At 44.6% G+C, this 12,193-nt stretch overlaps 1 long non-coding RNA gene across 1 annotated transcript in view; it reads left to right on the forward strand.

Annotated features, from left to right (window-relative positions):
* The window catches only part of SPRY4-AS1 (SPRY4 antisense RNA 1), a 138,762-nt gene that overhangs the window by 123,863 nt on the left and 2,706 nt on the right, over positions 1-12,193 (forward strand). The gene's annotated exons all lie outside the window — the stretch shown is intronic.

The following is a 12,193-nucleotide window of genomic DNA, read 5'->3' on the forward strand; positions in this document are numbered from 1 at the left end:
TAGCCATTTTTTATTCCTTTGCTTTCCTGATAAACTGGCTTTCACTTAAAAATTAAAAAAAAAAAGACATTTGGTGGAGAAGAAGGGTATGGATAGCTACAGGGAGAGTGGAAAGTTGAGGGAAGGTGATTATTTTTAGGATGGGTCATTTTAGTATAGGTTTAGAGGAAGGAGTGAGAAAACACAGACTGATGAAACAGGAGGGAGAGAGAAGGAAATATTGTGGATGAAGTTCCCAGAGTTTGCAGGAGGAGTTGGTTCTGGGGTCTCAGTGAAGATTTAAAAAGTAGTGGCAAAAACCACGATTACTTTTGCACCAACCAAATATATAAATCATTATATATTTATAATGTGTGTATAAATGCAGATGTGCTGTTCATTATATATTTATAATGATTTATATATAAATAATTAAATTACACACTTCATGATTTTTAGTAAATTTACAAAATTGTGCGACGATCACAATCATCCAGTTTTAGAATATTTCTGTCACCCCAAAAAGATCCCTCATGCCCATTTGTAGTCAATATGATTATATTTTATCTCCTTTATTGGTTTAATTAGCTATACCTCGTTTTTTGTTTTAGAGGTTCTTTTGAGGTTTACAGTGTACATCCTGAACTTGGTGTAGTCTGTCTTCAAGTAATATGTCATTTAACGTTTGTCATAAGAACCTTGCAACAGTATATTTCCACCTCTTCTCCTTCCTAGCCTTTGTGCTCTTCTTGCCACTCATTTTATTTTTATTTCTACATGTGCTATAAACCCCTCAAAACATTGTTGCTATTTTCCCTTTGAACAGTCAAATCTCAAGGTTTGTTTTTGTTTTGTTTTGTTTTTTGAGACGGAGTCTCGCTATGTCACCAGGCTGGAGTGCAGTGGCGCAATCTCGGCTCACTGCAACCTGTGCCTCCCAGGTTCAAACGATTCTCCTTTCTCAGCCTTCTGAATAGCTGGGACTACAGGCACATGCCACCACACCTGGCTAATTTTTGTATTTTTAGTAGAGATGGGGTTTCACCATGTTGGTCAGGATGGTCTTGATCTCTTGACCTCATGATCCTCCCACCTTGGCCTCCTAAAGTGCTGGGATTACAGGCCACCACCCAAGATTTTTAAAAGGGAGAAGAAAAGATATTTTATATTTGCCGACCTATTTTTCATTTCTAGCACTCTTCATTCCTTTGTGTAGATCCAGATTTCCATTTGGTATCATAGCCTTCTGCCTGAAAGACTTCCTTTAACATTTCTAATAGTGGTGGTCTGTTGGTGATGAATTCTTCCTATGTTTAAAATGTCTTATTTCACTTCTGGTTTTAAAAAATACTTTTGCTGGGTCTAGGTTAACCTTTTTTTTTTTTTTTTTCCTTTCAGTACTTTAAAGATACCACTGTCTTCTGAGTTGTATTGGTTATGACAAGGAGTCTACTGTCAATCTTTATTTCTCTTTGTTTTTTTTTCTACTTTAAAAATTTTCTCTTTATCAATAGTTATAAGCAATGTGATTATCATATGCCTTGGTGTAGTCTTCTTTATGTTTCTTCTGTTTGAGATTTGTTAAGCTTATTGCACCTGTGGGTTTCTAGTTTTCCTTAAATTTGGAAGAATTTTGGCTATTACTTCTTCAGATATATTTCTTGCCCCTTATTCCTGTCCTGTTTCTCATGCTCCAATTATATTAGCCTGCTTGACGTTGTCCCACAGCTCACAGATGTGCTGTTCATTTTTTTTAGTTTTTTTTTTCTGTCAGTGTTTTTACTGACAGATGATTTCAATTCATTAACCTTTTTTTTTCTGCAGTATCTAATGTCTTAATCTCATCCAGTTTATTTTACATCTCAGACATTCTATTTTTCATCTCTGGAAGTTTGATTCATAACCTTTTTTTGCCTTCCATGTCTCTCCTTAACACGCTCATGCTTTCCTTTAATTTTCTTGAACGTACATAATTAGAATGCTGTTTTAATGTTTTCATATACTAATTGTGTCATCTGTGGCATCTCGGGGTCTATTCCTCAATAGGGGGTATGTTTTCCTACTTTTTGCATGCCTGTCAACTTTTGATTGGATGCTAAATATTGTGAAGTCTACATTGTGGAGTGCTGGGGTGCTTTGCATTTCCATAAACATTGTTGGACTTTGTTCTGGGATGCAGCGGGATACAGCTGTGTTGCTTGGAATTAATCTGATCTTTGAGTCTAGCTTTTCAGCTTTGTGAGGGTGAGTCTAGAACAGAACTTAGTCCAAGTCTGGAGCTGACAAACTATGGCCCACAGACAAGCTGCCAGTATTGGTAAATAAGATTTTATTGGAACACAGCTGCACCCATTTGTTTGCCTATTGTCTAGGGCTGCTTTTATACTTCAGCAGCAGAATTGGGTTGCTGCAGCAGCAGTGGCTGTTATGAACCATAAGCCTAAAAAAATTTGTATCTGGTCCTTTAAGAAAAAGGTTGCCTGGCCGAGCTTGGTGGCCCATGCCTGTAATCCCAGCACTTTGGGAGGCCAAGGCAGGTGGATCACTTGGGGTCAGGAGTTTGAGACCAGCCTTACCAACATGCAAAACCCTGTCTCTACTGAAAACACAAAAATTAGCCAGGCATGGTGGTGCGTACCTGTAAACCCAGCTGCTCTGGAGGCTGAGGCAGGAGAATCGCATGAACCTGGGAGGTGGAGGTTGCAGTGAGCCAAGATCCTGCCACTGCACTCCAACCTGGGGGACAGAGCGAGACTCCATCTCAAAAAAGAAAAAGGGTTACCAATTTCTCATCTAAGGTAACTTGGGCTCAATATTGAAGAAGTGTTCTCCTGAGGACTCTACTTGATGCTCCGTGTATTAGAAGGTCTTTCCCCTTTGATTGGTTGGAACATGAACTACTCTTGGCCATGTCTTAGCTTTGGGGATTATTCCACCTACTTTATTCCTCCCTGCACTATGGCCTGGAAACTCTATCCAGACAGTGAGCTGGGGCGCTCTCAGGGCTCACCTAATTTGTTTTCTTTTCTCAGGGGATCATTTGTCTTGTGCTTTGTCTAAAAACTTGTCCAATGTCTAAAAACTGTTGTTTCATAAATTGCGTGTGCTTTTCTAGTTATTTAAGGTAGGAGAATAAATCACCCTCTGTTATTCCATTATGGCTGAAAGCTAACATTCCTCACCTTTTTTTTTTTTTTTTTTAACTTTTTGTCCTCTTCTGATTACAAAAGTGGTATGTGTTCCTAACCTACTGGCTTCTCTGCCACAGTGGATCTGATTGGCCACCCCAGCTTTTTGCAGTTACTCCACATTTTTTTTTGAGACAGAGTCTGGCTCTGTCACCCAAGGCTGGAGTGCAATGGCACAATCTTAGCTCAATGCAACCTTCGCCTCCCGGGTTCAAGCGATTCTCCTGCCTCAACCTCCCAAGTAGCTGCTACAGGTGCAGGCCACCATGCACCACTGATTTTTGTATTTTTTAGTAGAGACAGGGTTTCACCACATTGGCCAGGCTGGTCTCGAAATCCTGACCTCAGGTGATCTCCCCGCCTTGGCCTCCCAAAGTGCTCGGGTTACCGGTGTGAGCCACTGCGCCCGGCTACTTTTATGATATCTCTTCCATCTGCAATCTCTTTATTTTATCTGTTCTTTGTTGGTTTTGTCCTTTTTATCTGCCTTAAATATTAGGATATCAGGTAGTAATAATCCCAGTTTCTCACCATTCCTCCATTCTCCTATAGCTTCAACCTCCATGTGGATGGGGATCCCTAGGGATTTAAAGTATACTTTTCAGTTGTTCAGTCCTAAATTGAAATCTCGGTTGTACTATTTGTTATGACATGGGCAGACTCAGGTTTTCTGGAGTTGAGAATAATCTAACATTTTTGTGCTCTTAATACATACCTGGGCTGGGCACAGTGGCTCACACCTGTAATCCTAGCAATTTGGGGGGCCGAGGCGGGGGATCACCTGAGGTCAGGAGTTCGAGACCAGCCTGGCCAACATGGTGAAACCCCGTCTCTACTAAAAATATAAAAAATCAGTGGGGTGTGGTGGCAGATGCCTGTAATCCAAGCTACTCAGGAGGCTGAGGCAGGAGAAGCATTTGAACCCGGGAGGCAGAGGTTGCAGTGAGTCAGGATGGTGCCATTGCACTCCAGCTTGGGCAACAAGAGTGAAACTCTGTCTCAAAAACAAAAAACAAACAAAAAAAGCCATACCTGATGATGGGCTCTATACATCACACATATCTCTAATCCTCCACAGCAACTCTGTGAGGGAGGTACTTTTGTTGTTCCTAGTTTATAATGGAGAAAACTGAGATTCAAATAAGTTAGGTTACGTGGCTCAGGTGGACAAGCTAGAATTTGGACCCAGGATTTTCTGATGAGACCGGGCTGACCAGCTGTCCTTTCTCCCTAAGATCTTCTTGATCTGATCTTCTGTCTTGGCACTGAAAAGTCCTGCTTGCTGGGAAACCCCTCAGTCCTGGAAAAACTGGGGTAGTTCACCAGCGCAGTAAATTGCCCTGTTCTGCCGGGATCGCTTCCCTATATCCACTTCATACTTTGTACAATTTAAACTCTAAATGCATGTTGAGCAGTTTGTATGGTGCCTGACACACAGTAAACGCTTAAAAGTGCAAGCTGTTATTACTGTTCCTGTTTCTAACCCTTCTGAATATAAGTGGTGAACATTTGTTAGTCTTTCTGATGACCCAATATCTGAACATTATTCTATGTGTTGGGAATCTTGCACCTTATGGGACTGAACGCACTTCCCACTCCAGAGTAATCCTTCCCATACTGGCAGCGAGAATGCAGGCATGTGGCTCAGGCCCCACCTGTCAGAAGCCCGTGCTCTGATCCCGATTAGAATCGGGGCCCACACAGATCTCTCCTGGTGAGGATGACAGTGGCAGGATTCTGGAAGCAGAGCCCAAGCCAGGGCTGTGAGCTAGAGTCAGTTTCCAGCGGTATCAACAAGGGGCTCCTCACTGGCTGAGGTCCGGAATGAATTCGATGTTTGCTCCTGGCTGTAAAGGGGCCAACCTTGGTTCTCTGGCTGTTCTGGAAATTACAAGAATTGCCAGATATCCTCTAGTAATTTCCTCTTGTGCTTGAATTAGCCTGAGTTGCTTTCATTTCTCTACAACCAAGTGCACTGATGGATACATATACCATCTGGATATTGTGGGCACTTCAAACTTAATGCATCCCAAATAGAATTCATTGCCTTTCCTCAGAGACTGCCATCTCTCGTATTCTTGGTCACAAGCACAGGTCCTCAGCATTTGCTGGATTTGTGAAATTAAAAACTATAGTCACCTTCAACTCCTCCTTCCTAAACCTCCAGCTCTCAGCATTTATCAAGAAAGGGTCGACCCCTTCTGGGTTTCCCTCTCTGTCTTCTCTGCTGTTGCTTTCACCCAGGCCCTCTTGCCTTGAACGTGGCACAGCCTCGGATCTGGTCATCTTTTTGCCATTCTTCTGCAGAGATGAAGAGCAGGAAACAGAGAAGGTCCAGCGTCACTTGTGAGGGCCAAAGATGAGGACAAAATAGAAAAGAAAAGGAGGTGGATGAGGGTGGATTCAAACTGGAGAAATTAATGCTTGGGATGGAAGAGAAGAAAAATCTTTTTAAAGGGGAAAGAGTGAAAAATACAGCTGATCGGCTGGGCATGGTTGCTCATGCCTGTAATCCCAGCACTTTGGGAGGCCGAGGCGGGTAGATCACCTGAGATCATGAGTTCAAGACCAGCCTGGCCAACATGGTGAAACACCATGTCTACTAAAAATACAAACAAATTAGCCAGGGGTGGTGGCGGGTGCCTGTAATCCCAGCTACTCGGGAGGCTGAGGCAGGAGAATCGTTTGAATGTGGGAGGCAGAGCTTGCAGTGAGCCAAGATTGCACCACTGCACTCCAGTCTGGGCGACAGAGCCAGACTCCATCTCAAAAAAAAAAAAAAAAAAAAAACAAAAACAGCTGATCCTCTTTATTCACAGAGGCCATATTTGCACATTCACCTACTTGTTAACATTTACCTGTAACTCCAAAAATCCATATTTGTAGCGCTTTTGTGTTCATTTGTGGACATCATGGGACCAGAACAAAATTTGAGTCACTCAGTTCACATGGTCCCAGCTGAGTTGGAACAAGACACTCTGCCTTCACTTTTCAGCCCTCATACTGTGGTCAAGTGTCCTCTTAGTATTCTGCGTGTGCTGTGTTTTTCACGTTTTTGTGCTTTTTGTTAGCGATTTTGTTGTTCATTTTTTATTTTTATTTTCAAAATTTTTTGAGACAGGGTCTTGCTTTTTTGTCCAGGCTGATGTGAAATGCAGTGGTGTGATCGTAGCTCACTGTAACCTTGAATTCCTGGCCTCAACAATCCTCCTGCCTCAGCCTCCCACAGTGCTGGGACTACAGGTGCACACCACCACTCCTGGCCTTGATTTTGCTGTTTAAATGGCCCCCAGGCATTGTGCTGTCTAGTGTTCCCAAGCTCCAGAAGGCTGTGATGTGCCTTGCAAAGAAAATACATGTGTTAGATAAGCTTTGTTCAGGCTTGAGTTTTAGTGCTGCTGGCTGAGTTCAGTGTTAATGAATAAAAATATGTATTGAGTGAGTTGTCTTTAAACAGAAACATACATAAAGCACATCGATGTATTGATCAGTTGACAAAAAATGTTGATCCGTTTGGCTAGAGGCTTTAAGAAACCTCCTTCTGTATTTCCCTTGGGAGAAATGGTTTAATATTTGCCAATGCAGTGTTTGCAGTCACTTTATGGAACATAACTACTGCGAGTTATAAGAATTGACTGTGTACTGGTGCTCATATTCAGCCCTTTGATCCTTAATATGCTTGATTTGGAAAAGGGGAAGTGGTTCATTGCACCCTCAAGTTAACACTTCTGAGAAATGTATCAGTCAGAAGTCAAGCAGAGAAGCAACACCAGTAGGAGATACATGTTTTAATAAACGTATGACAAGGAATTGGCTTACATAATTGTGGGGCTTGGCTAAGTAAGCCTGAAACCCACAGGGCATACTATCAGGAAGGAAGAATCACATGGGCATTGCTGAAGCTTGTCCACAGGCAGCCAAATAGGGAAAATCCAGTGAAGGAAAAGCAATTGTGGATCCACCTGCTGTTGGAATCTCTTTTACCAGGAAAAGCTCAATCCCTTTTAATGGCTCACCTGATTGAGTTGGGCCCATCGAATATCATCTCCCTAGATTAGAGTCAACTGATTAGGGCCTTTAATCACATCTATAAAATCCCTTCACAGCAGCACCTAGGTTAGGGTTTGATTGAATAACTAGGAGAAGGTGTGTGTCACAAAAAGGTTGATGCCCATGTATTTAGCCACATAGACACATCTAAAGATCATTGCAATGATGTATCAAATGTAGATTTTAGGCTGGATGTGGTAGCTCACAACTGTAATCCCAGCACTTTGGGAGGCCAAGGTGTGAGGATTGCTTGAGCCCAGGAGTTCAGGACAATCCTAAGCAACATAGTGAAACCCTGTCTCTCTAAAAAATACAAAAATTAGTCAAGTGTGGTGGCATGTGCCTGTAGTCCCAGCTACTTGGAAGGCTGAGGTGGGAGGATGATCAAGCCTGGGAGGTTGAGGCTGCAGTGAGCTGTGATCATGCCACTGCACTCTAGCCTTGGCAACATAGCAAGACCCTGTCTCAAAAAACAATGTAGGTTTTAATGCAAGTTATTTTGTTTCTATAACTTGGAATGATGAGTTCTGCACAAGTAAAGTCACATGATTTCACTTGGCTGTCTTCTTATCAACTGAGGTTTCCTTACTTCTCCCTTCTTTCCTAGGACCAGGCACCATTCCGAGTTTCTTCTATAAACCAGGTACTCTGACCATCCTCATTTTACAAGTGGAGACACTGGAGCATTGGAAAGTTAACTATCTCTACTAAGTTATGAAGCCAGGATTTTAATCCAGGTAGTCTAGGGCCAGAGCCTGTGTTCTTAACCTTCATGCTATGCTGAGTCTCAATATGACATGAAGCAAGTCATTTCTATCAAGACCCTTTCATGTTTTAGGTAGGCAGGTCTGTATGAGAAGCACATGAGAACTCGTGCGGTTCTTGGTTGTCTGGTAGCACAGCGGGGCATATACTCTTGTTAAAGACATTAGTCTGTCTTTCAATACTGGAATCTTGGGCTCTACTCCAAGAACCCCAGTCTGTCTGACCCTTTTCTTAGACCATATACCACCTAAAGTCCCTTGAATTATTTAAAACTTGAAGTCATACAGATTCCCCACTTGCCCCACACTCATGCCTTCTTCCACAAAGTCACACAGATTTGTGTTCTGAGGCTTTAATTAACTCTCCTGACCAGGTTAGACCTTCCCAAAGAACTTTATTATTTGGTTCTGCTCCATCCCCCATTAATTTATTCATGCATTCATGTATTCACGTATGCAAGCAACCCAATGTTTGAGCATTTACTATGTGCCAGGTACATGCTAGGTACTGGGGATATAGTCATTAATAGGATAGACAGCTCTCAGCACCTTGAAAGTGGTTATAGTCCCGTGTCCCAGAGAAAAAGTCTGGGGAGTAGGATCACCTGCTGATATGGTTTGGATTTATGTCGCTGCCCAAATCTCGTCGAATTGTAACTACCAGTGTTGGAGGAGGGGTTTGATGGGAGGTGGTTTGATCATGGGGGTAGATTTCCCCCTTGCTTTTCTCATGATAGTAAGTTCTCATGAGATCTGGCTATTTAAAAGTGTGTAGCACCTCCCCCTTCACCTTCTTCCTCCTTCTCCAACCATGTAAGACGTGCCTGCTTCCCCTCCACTTTCTGCCATGATTGTAAGTTTCCAGAGGCCTCCGTAGCCATGCTTCTCATACAGCCTATGGAACTGTGAGTCAGTTGAACCTCTTTTCTTTATAAATTACCCAGTCTCAGATACTTCTTTACAGAAATGCAAGAATGGACTAATACACCTGTCAAACAGGAAAGCAGGCCCACAATGCCTTGCATGCTGCATTTCTTCCTGATTTGGCAGATATTTGCAAAAGTGTGTGTTTTCCCCTATACAGGTGAATGTGTTAAAATAATTTTACATCAGTAAAAGCCCCTCTTCATCAGCCTCCTTGTTTTTTTCCTCCCCTCCCCTTTCCACTGTCACAGGGATCCTTGGGGGGTCTCTTCGCCAGCCAGAAACCTCTGTGGCCAGTGGTGCCATCTGCCTGAGTATTACTTGCACCCACTGGGTTCATTCTGTCTACTCGGTGTGGCAGGCAGGGCTTGGCTCACGCTAATGGGCTGGATCCACACCTGCCAAGGGTGAGCCAGGTGCAGAGCAGTGAGGGGTGTGTGGGTGAGCAAGTGCGGGGTCTGGCCACTGTGCACAGCCAGGCACATTGGCTGCTGTGGCAAGGCAGGCACCTACAGGCACCAACATAGGTGTTGGCTCTGTGCAAGGCTGTGGCTGGACCAGATGTACTGCATGCAGCTTCTGCTATGGGCACCTGTGTCTTGATGAGGGGAACGTGGTGGCACCCAGAAGCTTGTAAACACCAGGAACCACAGAACCCCAAAGAGGGCGTCACAGTCCTCGCTTGGGAAACTCTAAGTCTGGGCTCCCCTAAGGGCTGCAGCTCTTTTCTCCTCGTCATCTACAATGTGGTGAGCAGGGGGCGTGTTCCAGCCCTATTTGTGTTACAACTCTTTCAGTCCTGTCATTTGGCAGGTCCCGAGTTCTTGTCCCATGTCCAGTAAGAGTGAGGTATACATACAACTGGAGAGTGAGCATGGCAGAGAGGAGCTTCACTGAGCAGCAGAACAGTTTTCAGGAGACCTGAAATGGGAAGCTCCCATCCGCAGGCGGGTCATCTTGACAAGTGTACAGCTCTCAGTGGAGGGGAGACCTGCAGAGGGTAGCTCCTCTCTGCAGGTTGGGGGGCATCCTGACAAGTTCATTCAGCTCTCTGCTGAGAGGAGACCCACAGTGGGTAGCTCCTCTCTGCAGACAGGTCCTCCTGACTTCTGTCAAAGTCTGGTTGAGTTTGGGGTTTTTATGGGCTTCAGAAGGGAGGAAGTGCATGCTGATTGGTCCTTGGGCAGCCATGAGCAGGCCTGGAAAAAGCACTGTAAGTTCTCACTTGAGTCTGCAGAACTGGCAGCCCGGCCCCCAGGCCATCCCTGGCCTGAAGGTGGGGTTTCACTGGGGACCCACCTTTTTTTGGCTGGGAACCTGTCTGCCTCCTGCTGCTGTCCATGGTGCCCAGGCTGTTCATGCTGATGGGTGCCTGCAGGCCCTCACACCTTGCTCAGCCTCCCTCCTGTGCTTATCAGCACCCAAAGTCCAGAGGAGGCTGAGGAAACAGGAGGCTGGTGTGTCAGCACTACCCTAAGTGTCCTGGGTTGTGACAGTGCCTGGGCATGGCCTCAGCTTCACTCTGAAATTGGTGCAGGTGCTGAGAGTGAGGAGAGGCTAGGCAGTGGGAGGAGGTGCTTCTGAGCCTGCAGGGGAAAGGAGCCTTCTCAGGCCCCCAAAAGTGCAGAGATGCCCAGGTCCACAGCTGTGGCTGGGTGGCTGCAGCTGCACCTGGGAGGGTGGGGCTCCCACCCCTCCAACTCGGAAGGGTTGGAGCTTCTGCCTGTTTCTGGCTTCCACCAGCTCTGTGAAGTGCACAGCCCTGGCTGCATCTCCCCCACTGCAGCCAGTGTCATGGCAGTGGCTGCTCCAGACAGGCCACTGCTGCTCTCACCACTCTCTACTCCATCAAACTTTATTCATTTAGTGTATACCTTTCCAGATCTTTCTTCCATGCATTTATAAACAAATATGAATATATCTTGTTTGAAAAGAATTTATAATGGTATACAATATTCCATAAATGCTAATTGGTGGATGGAATCATTTTCACATGTGTTTCTCTCCAGTTTGCTTGCTTCCTTCCCTGATTTCTGTACCTTTTCCAAGTAGAGTGGCTAGGCAGATAAGGAGAGTAATGTCTCTGAATTCCTGTTGTTTCCCATCAGCCATGTTGACTAGATGTGGCCATAAGAGTTTGCTGTGTTAGTCAACTCAGGCTGCCATAACAAAACATTATAGGTTGGGTGGCTAAAAGAATAGAATTTTATTTCTCATGGTTCTGAAGCCTGGGAAGTCCAGCATGGTCAGTTTCTGGTGAGGGCTCTCTTCCTGGCTTGCAGACAGCCACCTTCTTGCTGTGTCCTCACATGGTGGAGAAAGAGAGAGTTCAATCTCTCTCTCTTTTTTTTATAAAGATCCCAGTCCTATTCAGTTAGGACCTCATCCTTATGGTTTCATTTAACTTCAGTTACCTCTTAAAGACCCTATCACCTAATAGTCATTTTGGGGGTTAGGACTTCAACATGTGGATTTTGGGGAGACACGACTCAGTCCATAGCATTGTCCATGATGTCTGTGCATGCCTCAGGGCAACCATATACATAGCTGGGCTGCTCCAGTACACCTAGCTCAGGGCTCTGCCCCCAGTGGGCACTCTTTAGGTTTGTTGACACATGCGCTTCTTAGATTAGAACTGCTCCTTGCCCTGTGTCTTGAGATAAGCTGAGGGCATCCCAATGGCCTCCATCCCTAGCATTCCATTTGAATTAGTGGAAATTTCAGCTACCACTTTGTGAATGGTTCCAGGTGTGCAGGCATGGGGAGACCAAGATAGCTGGAAAGCCAAGCTTAAATGTTAAATCAAGCTTGGGGTGGAGGGCAGTTATCATCACCTAAGGATCTAGGAATAGGGAATAGTACCATCATGGGATGACTCAGGCCTGTTAAAAACAGGGGGATAGGCCTATGTCTTGATGAATCAAGTGGCATGCCAAAGCCAGTTAATTAACCTCACACTTCAGCTCAAATCTTGGTTAGTTTTAAAGGCTCAGAAGGACAAAGAAGCATATAGAAAAGGATATGGAGTCCCCACGGAGTTACTGAGAAGAGAGAACTGTTCACTGGGAGATTTGAGGGCCAATTAAGGCGATTTCAAAGAAGAAAACTGTCAAGTGGCCACACAGGATTCTGTCGTGGGGATTCTGAGTCACTAGGATGCTGTGAGACATGTTTCTGTAGTGGTTTAGATGCTAGGATGAGAGTGTGAAGCAGGGCTTTGGGGTAGATGGAATTGGAGGATGTTTGTAGAAGTATTGGGAGGGAAATGAGCTCCTGGCTTGATATGGC

Source organism: Homo sapiens, chromosome 5 (genome assembly GCF_000001405.40).
Source record: "Homo sapiens chromosome 5, GRCh38.p14 Primary Assembly".
Lineage (NCBI taxonomy): Eukaryota > Metazoa > Chordata > Mammalia > Primates > Hominidae > Homo > Homo sapiens.